The 17,714-nt window shown below is 39.0% G+C and overlaps 1 protein-coding gene across 5 annotated transcripts in view; it reads left to right on the top strand.

Annotated features, from left to right (window-relative positions):
- SEL1L (SEL1L adaptor subunit of SYVN1 ubiquitin ligase) overlaps positions 1-17,714 on the top strand; it is a 62,307-nt gene that overhangs the window by 1,508 nt on the left and 43,085 nt on the right. For all 5 annotated transcript variants that reach the window (XM_047431676.1, XM_005267988.4, XM_005267989.5 and 2 more), the window contains exons 2-3: positions 4,608-4,645; positions 5,382-5,613. In XM_047431676.1, the coding sequence (XP_047287632.1) occupies positions 4,608-4,645; positions 5,382-5,613 (270 nt within the window). The remainder of the gene's footprint in view (positions 1-4,607; positions 4,646-5,381; positions 5,614-17,714) is intronic.

Here is a 17,714-nt window from a genome sequence, read left to right as displayed (position 1 = left end):
TCCTCTTATGGGTTTGTTAAACATTGGGTTTTAGGTCTGGAACAGCTCAGGTATACATAGATTAACAATCTCCATGAGGGATTCTTCACACTAAAGAGAACTACAGTAATGAAAGAGCACGGTGTGTATCCCTCTGAATTTAATTGGCAGAGTTTAAAGAAAATTAAAGCATAGGAATTGTGCTGTCTGTCTTTGACTGCATTTTATATACTTAGAGCTCCATGCCAGTGGAAAAGATATTTGAAGATCAACAGTTGGGGCTTTCAGGATGTTGTAATAAAAGACTTAACACTGATATATTAAATCCTTGGGTTGTATTGATGTAGGTAGAGGACTGTATTCAAGAAATGTCTGCTCTGATTTCCATCATAGTTAAAGCTGTGCCACAACATTTCAATGGTAAAGGCAGAAGCCTTAGCCAGAACTAAAACAATGTAGATGTGCATGCTAAAAGGTAATAAAGGCAGTGCTGTGCTCACATGAAGTTCATATATCATAAAACACCTGTGCGGGCCCAGCTCATACCTGTAATCCCAGCACTTTGGGAGGCTGAAGTGGAAGGATCACTTGAGCCCAGGAGTTCAAGACCAACCTGGGCAACATGGCGAAACCCCATCTCTACGTAACTCCAGGTGTGATGGTGCACACGTGTAGTTCCAGCTACTCGGGAGGCTGAGGTGGCAGGATGGAGTGAGCCCCAGGAGGTTGAGGCTGCACTGAGCTGTGATTATGCCACTGCACTCCAGCCTGGACAATAGAGCGAGACCCTGTCTCAAAAAAAAAGAAAAAAAAACAACCCTGTGTTAAATAAAGTTGTGTAAATTAAGCTATGGATTTTCAATTGTGATTTTCATTCACAGGGTTTCGGCCTCAAAGTTTAAAGTTTTACTCCAGTATTAAAATCAAGTTTTTGGTTATAATTTTGTGTTTGAACATTAGTGGTTACCCAGGGCAGGTCGCATCTCTCCAGGTGGAGTATGGTCAGCCAACAAAGAGAATCTTGATTCTATTGCTGTTGATAGCTGTTAGCTAGTATCATGTTTTAGAAGCATGTAAAAATATGATATAGTCACATGCTACATAATGACATTTTGGTCAACAATGAACCCCATGTAAGATGGTGGCCCTGTAAGAATATAATGGAGCTGAAAAATTCCTGTCACCTAGTGACATTGTAGCCATTGGAACATGGTAGCACACTTTTTAAAAAATAAATTTAGTGTAGTTTAAGTGTACAGTGTTTACAATAGTGTATAGTAACATCCTAGGCTTCACATTCACTCACTCACTCACCCACAGCAACTCTTAATCCTGCAAGTTCCATTTATGGTAAGTGCCCTAGACAGGTATATGTTTTGTAATCTTTTACACCATATTTTCACTGTAGCTTTTCTATGTTTAGCTATGTTTATGTACACAAATACTTACTGTTATGTTACAGTTGCCTACAGTAGTCTGTATAGTCACATGCTGTACAGATTTGTAGCTTAGGAACAACAGGCTACACTATGTAGCCCAGGTATGTAGAAGGCTATCCCATTTAGGTTTAAGTATACAAAAAGGAAATCGCCCAGTGATACACTTTTCAGAACATATCCTCGTCATTGACACATGGCTAATATTAGAAACATTTTCTCTTTTCTATTAATAAATTTAAAGGAGGACACTAAAAAGATATTTCTTCATTTTCTCAGGATAATAGTGAAAAGGTTATAATTTTTCTCACAAATGCATGCTTTCTTATTTTTGGCAGAAGAGGCAAATGGCTTAACCTTTTTTTTTCTTTGTGCCAAGCAGTGTTAGTCATTTTAGTTAGGTCCACTGCCAGGTATTTCAGGTAATAATTATAAATTCAGAGAGTAGTTTTCAGACAGCAGAGGATGTTTAATTTCACTGTTTTGGTCGTTCCTTAAAATATTGTGAGTCAGCGGGACAGAGGTGTTACCCCTTTTGACAGATTGAGAAACAGAGGCTGAGCAAGCTTTTGTTACTGAACCATGTGTCAGAATTAACATGTGATGAAGCCAGGTTCCAGACCTAGCTCTCCAGGTCTCAGAATTGAAGAAATTTAGAATCGAGAGTATCTTAGGATCTGTACCAATTTAGAGCTAAAGCAGAGAACAGGATATCTGGTCTGTTTTCACCAAACTATTTAGACTTTCTGTGTTTAAAGGTTATCAGTCTGTTTAATTTACGTGATGAATGGAAAAATGATTTTGTAGTGATCACTTTTCCCTGAAAGCATATCTCTGGTACTTTGCAGTTTTGTTAGCTAATACAATAAAAATAAAAACTGGTCCTTTTCAAAGGAAGGTGTACAGTTAATAAAATAATATGAACCATTTGGATGTGATGCTGATGAGCGAGAAGCGCATAACTTAATCCTTTTGCATTTTTTTCTTGTTGCTTGATATCTGTGTTCTGATGAAAACATTACTGTTTGCTTTTTATTTATGCATAACTTCAGTCTCTTTAATCCTTACCTGAATACTACTTATCAGAAGTTCCTAGGTTATAAACAACTCTTTAAAAAGTGTTGTGTGAATGTTTATATCAGTTTGAAAAAGAAAATAGCTTATGCTTTGAGACTACCATCTGGAGTAGGCTTTCCCAGTTTAGTAACTGAGAATTATCTTATTCACCAGTAATATTAGCATATAGTCCAGGTTGCGAAGAGAGAGGGAGAGAAAGAGAAGCATGATGCAATTCACATGAAATAACTCTGATGTTACAAATCATGTTTCTTGGAGTTTGAAAACACGTTTTGCTACTCTAATGCCTAACAGCTTGTGCTGTGTGAAATGTACATGTCTTTAAGTGTATTTACAGATGTGTCCATATGATTCACCTGTTAGCTACCTATGTAACCTGTTGTGGTGAGGTACTAAATGTAGCAATGTAGTGATAGTGATTTAGAGTTCCAGCTAATCTAAAGTTTCATTCAGTATTTGGGGGTATTTCATATATGTTTAAACATTTAATATCTGTTTTGATATATTAACTAGTTGAAGTTTGTGATTAATTACATATACTTACAGTACAACTTTGATATATTATAGAGATGGGTTTTTTAAATTTATCTAAAGATTTGCTGAGAATGGAATTTGAACCACATGTTAGAAATTGGGCTTTGGGTAATACTTGTGAAGAAGTTAGCATGAAGGACAATTGTTAATTAACTGACATCATTGCCTAATGTTATGGGCGCTGTGGGACTAATATGTGGCATACCCTTCTCTCCACCTGCCAGAAGTAAAACATACTTTGAAGGTAATCTAAAAGTAGGTGAATATGAATAGTAGCTGTAATTTAAATTTTCTTTGACTTGACAGCACTTTCATATATGGCAAAACCTCACTAATGGACTAGTTTCCTCAAATATTCGAAAGAAATATTGTGAGGTAGTGTCTTGTATTTTGTGCATAATTGAGTTGGTTATACTTCTTAGTCTTAACTCAGTACTTTGATAACAAACTCTAACACAGGTTTTTTGTTATATTTTAGAGTTGCAAATTACAAATGATATTTAGGATATAGCCATATGAAGTAAAGTATAAATGACAACTATAGTAGCAAATTTTCTAGTAAAAAATGACATGGTCTTACAGGGTTTTGTCTACTGGTTAATTTCTCATACAGCTTATGGAGCAGGTAAAACTGAAACTCACTCCTGAATAAAATCAGGTAATTTTAAGAGCAAGAGGGAAACTTAAAGATGATCTGACAGATTCGCTGTTTTAAACTGGCAAGGAATACAAAAATCAAGCATTTCCATCTGAACATTGAGTTGTTGCATGTGTTTATGTAAGAGCAGGAAGAAGAGTAACAAGCAGCCAGAAAAGTAATAGTCAGAAAACATGGAAAAAGTAACAGAAGGAAAATTAATGTAATCAGACAACACCAAAGCAGGCTGTGTGAATGTGTAAGCAAGGTGTAACCGGTGGCTGTTTTTCATTGTTTAATGTAAGTTATTGATTTCTTACTACATAGCTCTCAATTGAGTGAATATATGATAGGACCATGCTGCTTTTTACCTGCATCTGGTTATCTCTGAGTAGAGTAGAACACAAATCCTAAATATAATTGTTTTGCAACTCTGCTATCAAATAATAATTCTTAGTTTCCATCCTTACTATAGTAGTAAACAATACAAATACTAATGAGCACTAAAATGGGCTACTCTAACTCAAGATCCTGAGCAGACAAACAGAATAGGTGGAAGCCCGGAGTATGAAATTAGAGATTTATTTTTATGAACTTAGTAACTCATTCTCAGAAATAGACTAAATAGACCCACAAGAATTGGATGGAATGTGAAGAAATACCTGTTTTTGTTGGTGGAGGCTGTTGGTCTTCCTACCTTTGTAACAGATGGAGCTAATGTCTTTTCTGGAGAAAGAGAGAAACTAAACCCCCAACCCATTTTTTTTTTCCTTTCACTTGATCTTTTCTGAACAATTGCTGAATATAGCTAACTTTAAAATAATTCTATGTTTATTTATCCAATGTTTGATTATTATTTGCTATACTTTTCACATGTTTTCTTTTAATAATAACTAATTTCCCAACAAGAAAGATTACTAAATTGTCTTAAAATTTCTTTGCAGATGAAGAAGGCAGCCAGGATGAATCCTTAGATTCCAAGGTATGTACTAAAATGTGTATTGGCCAGTATTTGCTGCCTGATTTAAAAGGATGAATTATGTATCTTAGAAAGGATATGAGGTCTGCAACTTTTGAGTAACAGTTGAATTAAAAAGGACAGAAAAAGACAGATGGTATTAGTATTAGTTCTAGTTTTTCTGGAGGAAGAAAAAATTACTGACCTACAAGAGGGAATAGTAAATATTTCATTTCAACTTGAATGTGCTCTGTGTGTGTGTGTGTGTGTGTGTGTGTGTGTGTGTAAGTTTGAAGATTTAACCTGTGTCATTTGTTTCCACTTTCCAGTTCTCAAAAATAAATCCAGTGAGCTAATGCACTTATTGGTTGATTGAGCTCTCCCTTCCAAGTACTAACCAAGCCCAACCCTGCAGTCAGTTATGAGCTCTGATCTTTAGATTTGAGGGAATGTAGATAAAAGCAGGAAGTAGAAGTATAAGGTATGTTGGGGGCATGTGGAGGAAAACCGAACCCAGACTTTGGGAATTAAGGAAGGCTTCTGGGGGAAGTAACATCTAAGTTGAAATTCAAAAAGGCTACAAGTTAGGTGATGAAGGAAGGCACGTGATGGACACATGCCAAAGCCTATAGAGATGAGTGAGTGTGGCACTTCAAGGAGCTGAAGGAGATGTGATATCTGGATTAGTAAAAATAACGGTCAAATAGGGTTGGGGAAAGTCTTGGCATTGTTGATAACTAAAAATACTTTATATTCTCAGACTACTTTGACATCAGATGAGTCAGTAAAGGACCATACTACTGCAGGCAGAGTAGTTGCTGGTCAAATATTTCTTGATTCAGAAGAATCTGAATTAGAATCCTCTATTCAAGAAGAGGAAGACAGCCTCAAGAGCCAAGAGGGGGAAAGTGTCACAGAAGATATCAGCTTTCTAGAGTCTCCAAATCCAGAAAACAAGGACTATGAAGAGCCAAAGAAAGTACGGAAACCAGGTAGTCTGGACATTTTCCTTGCTTTTTGATTTATTTAGGGGACAACTGAAAATTTTAAGCTAATGAATAAAGAGGCTGAAGAAGACTGGCTTCACTGATTATTACCCACAAATAATATATGGAGTGTAGTTTGGAGAGAATTTCTAGATTTTAATATACCAAAGTTATTCACTTAACAGATTTGACCCAAGTTACATAAGCTGAATTCAATAGATGAGATTGCATTTATCTTTTTATTAATATCCTGACGTTTCTTTTTGGAATCAAGTATGTAAATACATTTCTCACTGAGAAATTTAAAAAAATAATATGTCAGGGTAGCATACAAAACAGAAACTCAGGAAGAACTGTCTAACATGCCACTATGGTTATTTTCAGGATTGTGGTAGGATTATTACTACAATAACCTTGTCGATCATCCTAGGTAATTTGATTTAGGTGTTTATCCCTCAGCTGACGCTTGTGTGTACTTCCATCCTATTCTAACTTTCACAATCTTGAAACCTCTACTTTTCAATTTAAAACTTGACCTTTTTCACAATAGTCTTCTAAATATTAATCCTTTTAAAAATTATTAATGTATGCATTCTACCATGTCTTGTTGCCCTTCTGTCATTTATTATTTCAATGATCACTGCCTTATCTGTTTATTATTCCATTACTAACCACTCTCAGGAACTGATCCAAATTTGAACTTTTTAAAAAAATAGAATTTTTTTTTACTACAAATATACCATTCTCATGAATAGAAAACTATTTTTAAAAAATTAAAAGTACCTGAATCCCATCAACTAGAAATAACAGCTGCTCACATCATGGAGAATATTCTCTCAGGATTTTTTTAGGTGTATCAGTAGTTTTAAGAAAAGTAAATTGGGTCAAAATGTGTATTCTATGTTGCAGCCTGCATTTTGCACTTAACAGTTTACCATGAATGTTTTTCCATGTCATTTAGCTTATTTTCAATTTGATAGTTAATGGCTATAAAAAATTTTATTTGTAAATATATGGTACCATAAACCAAAACGTTTATGTTTTGCTGGGAGATCATTTTAGATGTATCTTTGTGCCTATCTGTGAAAATTTCCTTAGAATTCTTAAAGTAAATTTGCTGAATTGGATGTAAAAGTTTAAAAGACAGTAGATACACATTGTTAAATTGTTCTTCAGAAAAGTGATTCTGTTTACTTCCTCTGAAAATACCTCTTTCCCTGTACCTCACCCAAGTGTGTATTACCATTTTAAAATTTTTACTAAATATAATTTAATTCATTCTTCATTTTTTAATTAGGGATTTTTTTTTTTTTTTTTTAGTTTTTATATTTTTAGAGACATGGTCTCACTCTGTCACTCAGGCTGGAGTGCAGTGGCACGATCATAGTTCACTGCAGCCTTGAACTCAGGTGATCTCCCTCTTTGGCCTCCCAAAGTGCTGGGATTACAGGCATGAGACACTACATCAAGCCTGGGAAATTTTTAAACATGCATAAAAGTAGAGGGTAAAATGACACCCCTTACCAACCCTCACTCAGCTTCAATAAACATCAACATTCTGCTGGTCTTTTCATCTTTACTACCCTACACACATTTGCCCTTTTTTTCTTTCCTAGAATATTTTAAGGCAAATTCCGCATGTGCTTTTACATCTCTGTGTCTCTCTCTAGTAAGAATGTTCTTTTCAGCAAAATCACAGAATTAGCCATTACTCCTTTATTACCTAATACCCAGACTGTTTAATTTTTCTAGTTGCTTCAAGTGTCTGTTTACAATTTATTTGTTTGAATTCATTTCTAAGCTAAGACCTAGGTTTCTCTTAATCTGTTGCTGTTCTCCCTCTTTTGTTGTTGTTCTTTTTTTTTGAGACAGAGTCTTGCACTGTTGCCCAGTCTGGAGTGCAATGGCATGACCTTGGCTTACTGCAGCCTCCACCTCCCGGGTTCAAGAGATTCTCCTGCCCCAGCCTCCTGAGTAGCTGGGATACCAGGCGCGTACCACCATGCCTGGCTAATTTTCTTCTATTTTTAGTAGAGTTGGGGTTTCACCATGTTGGCCAGGCTGGTCTCGAACTCCTGACCTTAAGTGATCTGCCCACCTTGGCCTCCCACAGTGCTGGGATTACAGGCGTGAGCCACCGCACCCAGCCCCTCCTTTGTTTTTAAGTGTCATTTTATTTGCTAAAGAAATATGCAGTATCCTTTGTGCTATACAGTTTCCCACGTTTTGGATCTTGCTGGTCATGAACTTGTAATGTCATTGAGCTTGTTCCATTATCTGCTGTTTATTCTATAAACTGGGAGTTAGTTCTAGAGACATGGGTAGATTTGGTTCTGTCTTTTTATTGAGAGTATTTCATAGGTAGGTGGTGGTGTGTACTTTCTGTTGCTTTACATTGAGAGACATGTAGTGTCTGATTTTTCCACTTTTACTGATGTTAAGATTAATTAGCGAGGTCAGGTGGTATCACCCTGATCTCACCATTCTAAAGTTCCTCATTAATCTTTTGCCTAGGGGTTTTGGCAACCATTTATGTTTGTTGCCTGGATCTTTTAATTATTAGGGGTTGCAAAATGGTGACTTTCTAATTCTACCATTCCTCCTGCATTTGTTACCTGGGATTCTTTTATAAAGAATTTTCTCTCATCAAGTCTTTGATTACCCTGAAATATAGTCTCATCCAGAGAAAGCTAGATAAATTCTTATTTCCTTTGCACTGTTGTGAAATGAAAATTTGGTGCCCAAGCAATCTCTGAAAGAGACTAATGAGTATGTTTTTGTTTGTTTGTATTTGTTTTGTTTTGCTTTGTATTTGAGCATTGTAAGGATATAGTAAAAACCAAACCAAGGTGTGTTTTTCTTTCTCTTTCTCACTGAGTTAACACTTCTGACACCAGATATGTTGTGGGTATTTCCCCACATACCAAGTAAGCAATCAGTTCTGCAGAGGATTCTCCATCAGAGACCAGCAGGATGTCTGCTGATTTAATTCAATTCTGACACTACCTGGAGATAGCATTAGATCTCACAAGTTTAGGGCTCAGTCTCACAAGACCAGTCCCCGCTACTTGAGATGCCAATCATAAGCCCCGGGTTGTCTGTGCTTCTGACAGACTGGCTATAAATCAGGGTTCCCACAACCCCCTTCTTGGGTTCAATTAATTTGCTAGCACTTAGGACTCTGGGAAGCATGATAAATGGGTAAATGTAAATATAAATTTACATTTATTATAAAGGATATTACAAAGGATAGAGACGAAAAGCCAGATGGAAGAGAGGTGTAGGGCAAGGTATGGGAGAAGGACTGCAGAGCTTCCATGCCCACTCTGATCTGATCACGCCACCCACCTTCCAGGAATCTCCATGTGCTCAGCTTTCCAGAAACTCCCAGAACTCAGCTATTTTGGGTTTTTATGGAAGCTTTGTTATGCAGGCATAATTGATTAAATCATTGCGCGTTGATTTATTGGCTCAACTTTTAGCTCCTCTGCCCTTCTGAGGTTGGGGGATGGGACTGTAAATTCTAACCCTCTAATCTAATCTAATGGTTGGTTTCCCTGGCAACCAAGTCCTATCCCAAGGCTCTCTAGGAACCTCCAGCCACCAATTTTCTCATTATCATACAGAAGACATTCTTATCACTCAAGAGATTTCAGGGATTTTAAGAGCTATGTTTCTGGAAACGGATGAAGATCAAATATTTTTTTCACAATATCACAAGCATCATTATGAATTCATGGATTCTTACATACATGTCAGCCCTCTGTATCCATGGATTCAACCAAATATTTGAAAATATTTGGAAAAAATGGGTGGTTGCAACTGTACTGAACATGTCCACACTTTTTGTTCTTGTCATTATTCCCTGAACAATGTAGCGTAACTATTTACATAGCATTTCCATTATATTAGGTATTAGAAGTAGTCTAGGGATGATGTAAAACAGGAGGATTGCGTAGGTTATATGCAAGTACTACGTCATTTTATCTAAACAACTTGAGCACTCATGGATTTTGGTACCACCAGGCCAGGTCCTGGACCCAGTCCTCCAGTGATACTGAGGGACAGTCATGTGTCACTTAACAATGGGGATGCATTCTGAGAAATGCATCACTAGTTAATTTTATCGTTGTGCAAATATAGAGTGTACTTACACGAACCTAGCTAGTGTAGCCTATACCTCGGCTATATGTTATAGCCTATTGCTACTAGGCTACAAACTTCTACAGCTTGTTATTGTATTGAATACCGTACTCAGCTGTAACACAGTGGTAATTATGTGTATATCTAAACCTATCTAAACATAGAAAAAGCACATAAAAATATGGTATAAAAGATTTTTAAATGGTACGCTTGTCTAGGGCACTTCCCATGAATGGAACTTGCAGGACTGGAAGTTGCTGTGGGTGAGTCTGTGAGTGAGTGGTTAGTGCTGAGTGAATGTGAAGGCCTGGGACATTGCTGTACACCACTGTAAACTTTTATAAACAAGTACACTTAGGCTGCACTAAATTTATTTTCAAAATTTTTTTTCAATAGTAAATTAACCTTCGTTTATGGTAACTTTTTTAGTTTATAAACTTTTATGTTTTAGCTTTTCAACTATTTTGTAGTAACACTTAGCTTAAAATACAAACACATTGTAGAGCTATACAAAAATATTTTCTTTATATATTATCCTTATTCTATAAGCTGTTTTCTATTTTTAAATTTTTTTTTAACTTTTTAAACGTTTTTGTTAAAAACTAAGACAAACATACACATTAGCCTACGCCTACACAGGGTCAGGATCATCAATATCACTGTCTTCCACCTCCACATCTTGTCCCATTGGAAGGTCTTCAGGGCCATTAACAGGCATGGAACTGTCATCTCCTATGATAACGATGCCTGTACTTCCTGAAGGACACACCTAATGCTGTTTTACAGTTAACTTTTTTTTTTAATAAGTAGGAGTACATGCTAAAGTAAGGATGAAAAGTATAGTAAATATGTAGACCAGTAACATAGTTGTTTGTTATCACTATCAAGTGTTATGTACCGTACGTAATTGTATTACTATACTTTTATACAACTGGAAGTGCAGTAGGTTTATTCACACTAGTTTCACTACAAAAACATGAGTAATGGATTGTGCTACAGTGTTGTAATGACTAGGACATCACTAGGTGATAGGAATTTGTCAGCGATATAATCTTATGGGACCACCATGGTATACACAGTCTGTCATTGGCCAAGAAGTTATGATGTGTCACATGATCATATTTTTGTTCATTGCAATCATTCTTTTTTGTTGATTGCTCAGAATTTTCCTTTTTTGGCCATTGGTAATCATTCCTTTGTCTTTTTGACTAGATCCTGGTGATCTTTCGTAACTTTTTTTTTCCAGGCAGAACAAGGATGTCCTAAACTTATTTTGTACATTTCTTGACCCAGAAATGAAAGTCAGCTATTTCTCCAAGGAACCCAGATTGCTTTTGGTGGGTTAGATAATATAAGCACCAGTGATCTGCATTGCTAAATTTTCATTACTTATAGGCCTTTTTGGTGCATTGGGTTAGGAAATGTATCTTTCATACCGATAACTTCTAGTTCAAATTAAATATTACAGGCAAGATAACAAAAATCAGATTGACAAATTGAACTTACAAGAATCAGAGATCCTAACCTAGTATCAAGCTTGGCAAATATTTTCAAAGATAAAATTATCATAAGACGTGAGCGGGGTGTAGAGAAGTCTGTGACTGCCAGAGCTGCTCTCGGGTCGTTTCTTTCCTCAATTAGACTGTGCTCCAGCCCAGAGTTCAACACTCAAGGCCTCTAAGTAATGCCTGTAGAGTGTCAATTCCACGAAAGAAAGCTGTTTCCGACATGAGACATCACTGGTTTCTTCTTTGATAATTACATAGTGTATGTGATATTTTCTAGAGAGTCATGCCTACATACATCCCAGGTTTTTGTATAATGAGCAATGTAGACAGATCAAGTTCATCCTGCTGAAGCATTTCATAAGCAAGGACTCTTCCAATAGTAAATACCTTCAGTGTGTTTGCCAGAGGTCTCTCTTTACCATATTTCTAAGGTGATTTGATGATGCTTGGAGAGAGGTATCTGCTCACTCTGTTTTGGGCCAGTGAGAAGAAAGAACAGACTACAGGTCTGCTGCGAGCCCTTTCCACCTTATCAGAGTTTTTGCTTCTTTTGTGTTATCTCCTTTCACTGGTGCTGAAAATCTTAGTACCTAATGACATTAATGTTATTTTGTTTTATCATAATAAATATGCATATATAGTTTCAAAATAACAGTGGCCCTTACCACTAACTGTGGGACCACAGAATGCAGCCCAAGATTCCTTTATGGTCCTTCTTATTCTTGGTATATATTTTGCTAGGGACTTGTAATAATACAGTGTTTTAAAATCACTAATAATTCTCTGGTTATATCAACAACTTTATAAACATTTAGATTAATTTGTACCAGTTTTCACTTTTCAATAATGATTTAGATTTGTTTTTAATTTATTCTTAATATATGAAAATGCTTAAGTACTTATGCATATATATGACATAAATTGCATATATATGGCTCTGTGTACAGTTCCAGCTACACTAGAACTGGGTTATGTGACAGTTACTTTGAAACTTTTGCCCTTTGTCAGCCTCTCAATCATGTTGCTACCATATTAATCTTTCTCAAACTCAAATTTGACCCCATAACTCCCCTGTTTACAGGCCTCCATTACTTCCCTGTTTGCCTGAGAGATGAAGTATGCAGTCCTTAGCATGATTCACAGAGCCTTCAGTGTACCCCTTCCCTAAGCAGCCTTTTTCAGCAATACAAAACCCTTTTCTGTTCTCCAAACACAACATAACAGTTTATGCCCCTGGGCCTTTGTACAGATTCTCCTCACTGTTTAGGATGCCTTCCTCATTCCTTTGCCCAAATCCACTGTCACAAATTTCTGTTCATTCTTAAAAATAAATGTAGGTTTTCTCCTTTCTGAAGTGGTTCCTGAACCAAAGTGTTTACTATATGTAAGAGCTTCCTATCTGGCCTTCTTCCTTTTGCTCTTTCCCCCACTATCAGTTCCCTAACAGCAGCCAGACTGAGACTACTTCCTGCTCAGAAACCTCCTTTGGCTTCCGGTCCTACTCAAAGTAAAATCCAAACTTCTTCTATTTACAAGGCCTGACATCAGGCCCTTCCTGTCTCTTTAACTAACTCTTCTGCCACTCCCCTTTAGGTGACTCCCACCAAACTTGCCCTCTTGCTATTTCTTGAATATTTCACACTTATTCCCAGTTGTGTTGGGGAACCCCAAGACCACACCCTCAGGTGCAGTAATTTGGTAGGAAGTGTTCCTAGTAAATCTATGCTGACTCAAAGGACTCAGTGTAGAGTTGTGTTCACAGCTATAATTTGTCATAGTGGAAGACTAGAAGGCAAAATCAGCAAAGGAAAAGTATGGAATGAAGTGTAGGGGAAACCAGATGTAAGCTTTCAAGGGTCCTCTCCCGGAGGAGTCACACGGAGTGCTTAAATCCAGCAGCAACAAGTTAAGATAACACATGTGAAATGTTTTCCACCCAGGTAGCTTATTAGAGAACTAGAGTTTTTATTGGGGGCTGGTTAAGTTGGCAGTCTCTTCCTGGCATGTACCAAACTTGCAGAAGGAAAGCAGGTGTTCAACATTGTACAGTTTGGGTGAGCCACTCTTATCTGTAGGATGGTGAGAACTCTCCAGAAATCTAAATTTCCAGATGCTAACCAAGGGCCAACCTTGGAAGCCAGCCTTCTCAAAGAGAGAAGTTTATGTCTGTTTTTTTAACTCTTCTCTGCACAGTCTACTCCCTAGGTCATTGGCCAAGGCATCTTTATAGCAGAGTTACCAATAAGACCCAGATAGTAGTGAGACCAGCCTGCAATATTGATTTTAGGTATGCCTTTTAGGAGGCCTGGACTTAGCCAGTTAAAACAATTCCCATTTATCATAATGGTCTATCTTAGAAAAACAATAGGCTTCCTCCCTAAGTTTTAACCTTTCTAATCTTTTTACCTTTTTTTTTTTTTTTTTTTTTAGACGAAGTCTCGCTCTTGTCCCCCAGGTTGGAGTGCAGTGGCATGATCTCTGCTCACTGCAACCTTCGCCTCCTGGGTTCAAGCGATTCTCCTGCCTCAGTCTCCCAAGCAGCTGGGATTACAGGCACCTGCCACCACACCCAGCTAATTTTTATATTTTTAGTAGAGATGGGGTTTCACCAGGTTGGCCAGGCTGGTCTCGAACTCCTGACCTCAGGTGATCCACCCACCTCGGCCTCCCAAAGTGCTGGGATTACAGGAGTGAGCCACCGCACCCGGCCTACCTTTTTTAAAACACATTTTACCTATTATTTGTTTTTGTACGTGGTCTTAAGTTTCTGTATTAACTTTTTTTTTTTTTAATCAGCTGCAGCACAACTGTGGCCTAGTAAGTGGAAGCTGACCTAAAAGCTTTCCAGGGCTGAGTCAGTCTCATGAGAGTCAGAGTACAAGAAGTTCCGTCCCAAGCCGGGCGCAGTGGCTCATGCCTGTAATCCCAGCATTTTGGGAGGCCAAGGCAGGTGGATCACTTGAGGCCAGGAGTTCAAGACCAGCCTGGCCAATATTGCAAAACCCCATCTCTGGTAAGAATATAAAAAATTAGCTAGGTATGGTGGCATGAGAATCGCTTGAGCCTGGGAGACAGAGGCTGCAGTGAGCCAAGATCATGCCACAGCACTCCAGCCTAGGTGACAGAGTGAGACTGTCTCAAAAAAAAAGAAGAAGAAGTTCAGTCCCAGAGGGTACACATGGTAACCCTGGAAGCAAACCATCAATTACAGATACTCTGTTTCCAAAACTCAAAAGAGTTCAAATTCCAGTCCTCTCACTGGCAGCAAAAAGCAAGGAAGTTGTGTCCCACTAAACATTTTTTTGCAGCTTCCCCTGATCAGGATTATTCCTCTGGTATTTACAAAATTACAGGTGTTTAACATTTTATTTTAATTTTTACAATACATCTAGATGCAATAGCCACAAAATATAAAGCTATTTTAAAAATATTCTTCTTTTTCTTTTTTCTCCCTACTGCAGTTTACTCAGCCTCCTAGCAGTAAATTCAGTGTTTGCACTGTTAACATTACAGCTGCCAGGGAAGATCCTGGAATGCAGTGGAGGAAGGGAGGTGGGGGAGGATATTGTAGCAAGAGCAGCAGCCAGGCTGAAAAAAAACTGCTGGATTGTTACCTCCCCCAGTTTTTTTGTTTGTTTTCTGGTTTATCTAAAATTTTGTTCCAGACCAGATTTAACTTTTTAAAGAGAGCAGTTCAAACTTGTAACGTTTTTGGTTTGGCCCATCCTTGGGAATTTGGGGGTCCTTTCTCTTCCCATCTAGAAGAGAGAACAAAAACTACAGGCCTCACCTGCAATACACTGCCTTTTCCCTCATTTTAGCCAGCAGGACTAAAAGCAGTCAGGGGCATCCAGCAAGCCAGCTTTCCTGGAGCTGGATCTTTTACTTTCAGATTCTATGGCTCTCAACAAACAGCAGCTCAGCTACTGCTTCATACTGTGGATGACTCCATGACCACTCAGGCCCCAGAGATTCATCATATTCTGCCCTTTAGCCTTCCTCTTCTTAACGCTTTCACCATATATCAGTGAGTCAGGGTCATTCTAGCAAATCCCACTTCTAATGCATCTGTGTCAGGGAACCCCTAAACCATCCCCAGGTTTAATGATTTGGTAGGGGGATTTGACATATAGTTGCCTTCACAGCTATGATTTATTACAGCAAAAGGGGACAAAGCAAAATCAGCACAGGTGCAAGGTACATGGGGGGGAAGTCTGGAGGAAACAAGGTAGAAGCTTCCAAGGGTCCTCTCCCTCAGAACTGATGCAGGATCACTTAATTACCCCAGCGGCAAATTGTAACAACGCATGTGAAATGTTGTCTACCAGGGAGGCTTGTTAGAGACCCAGTGCCTGGAGTTTTTATTGAAAACTAGTTTGTAATCACCCTCTGCTAGCATGTACCAAAACTGTAGAATCCCAGAAGAAAAATGGGTAGTATTGCGTGTAAACCACATGTTTGTACGGTTTGGGCTCCGTACACTTTTATAAGTTAGAATGGTGGCGTGTCCGGAATTTGTTCCTTCTAATGCCCAGACTTCAGGGTTGATTCCCTCCTTAAGCAGGGGACAACAAATGGGTAACTTGTTCCCCATATTCATGTAGATAATAGCTCCAGCTTTGGCTAATATATCGCTCCCTAATAAGGGTCCTGGGACTTCCAGGCATAACAAAGGCATGTGAAAAGAGCAAAGTCTCCCAATTACAACTGAGGAGGTGGGAGAAATACCTGGTTACAGGCTGTCCCAGGATTCCTCGGTTGGTAACGGTCCTTGAGGACAGTTGTCTGGGACAGGAGGTTAACACTGAGAAGGCCACAGTGTCCAGGAGGAAGTCAATTTCCTGGCCCTCAATGGTTAAACGTACCCGGGGCTCGGTGAGGGTGATGACGTGAGCTGGCGCTTGGCCTGGGCACCCTCAGTCCTGTTGTTGGATCATCTGGTTGGGGGCTTCTGGTCCAGAGAACCTTTGTCCTCTGGGGCAGTGCACCTTCCAGTGATTGCCTCGGCATAGTGGACATGGGCGAGGGGGCAGCTTGTTTCTCACTGGACAATTTTTTAAAGTGTCCTTGCAAACCACACTGATAACAAGCCCCACCAGGTGATTGGCCTCCTCTATTTTCTGTCCTCTTTGAACCACCAAGGTTTGTTTGTCTGGAGGGCCATGACTAAGGCTGCAGCCTTTCTCTGATCTCACTTTTCCTTTTTGGCCTGTTCCTCTTGGTCCCTATTATAGAACACCAAGGTTGCCAGGTTTATTAATGCCTCCAGATTTTGTTCGGGGCCCAGGGCTCACTTTTGGAGCTTTCTTCTGATATCTGCGGCTGATTGGGTAATAAACTTACCCTTTAGAATCAATTGACCCTCAAGTGAGTCAGGTGACAGGGGAATATGTTCTCTTAAGGCCTCTTGAGGAAGGCAGAAGGATTTTCTTCCTTTCCCTGAGTTATGGTGGACATCATTGAATAATTCATGGGCTTTTTCCTAATTTTCCTTAGTCCTTCTAGAACACAGGTCAGCAGATGTTTATGACTCCAGTCCCCATGATCTGAGTCTAGATCCCAGTGGGGATCCATACTGGGGACGGCTTGCTGACTGGTAGGGAATTTGTCCCTTTCTTCAGCTGTCAGTCTGTCATTTACTTGACTAAGATACCAGGTGTCTCCAAACTCTCAGGCTGCAGCTAAAGCTGCATTCTTTTCATTAAAGGCCAGGGTTTGATCTAACAATAACATAACATCTCTCCAAGTGAGATCGAAGGTTTGCCCTAGACCCTGTAGGACATCTGTATACCTATCAGGATCATCTGAAAGCTTCCCCAGGTCTGCCTTGATCTGCTTTAAATCAGAGAGGGAGGAGGGGACATGTACCCAGGTTGGGCCAAATTCCCCTCCCCTACAGCTTGAAGGGGACATAACCAATAGCCTGTGGGGGTTTGTGGTCCTTTGGAGATTTCTTTGCTTGTTTCCTTCTGGGCAGGGGAGATTAGAGGAGGCTTATCATTAATAGGAAGGGGAGCTATAGGGAGGCTAGGATATGGAGGTAAGCTAAGAGGTCCTCCTGTGGGATGTAAATTGTAAGCTTTGCATAGTTGTGGATTCTCCTTCAATGAAAAGAAAGCTTGGACATAAGGTATTTCACTCCATTTGCCTTCCCTCTTACAGAAAAGGTCAAGCTGCAAGATAGTATTGTAATTGATACTTCCCTCAGGTGACCATTTTTCCCCATCAGAGAGAATATTGGGGCCAGGCCATAGTGCAGAAAAAAATGAGCTGCCTCTTTTTCAGGGTTTATGGGTCAAATTGGTCCCAATGGCTTAGGATGCATTTCAAGGGTGAGCCTATTGATGCCTGTTTCCCATCTGAAAGACAGAACCGCCCGCGGTTTTGGTTTGTTTCTCTCCCTGCCCAAGAACCCACAAGGGTCCCTGGACCCTCCGGATCAGAATAGTTGCGCTC

This window comes from Homo sapiens, chromosome 14 (assembly GCF_000001405.40).
Source record: "Homo sapiens chromosome 14, GRCh38.p14 Primary Assembly".
In the NCBI taxonomy this organism is placed as follows: Eukaryota; Metazoa; Chordata; class Mammalia; order Primates; family Hominidae; genus Homo; species Homo sapiens.
Note: the sequence above shows the minus strand (reverse complement) of the source record. Positions and strands in the feature narration are given on the sequence as shown.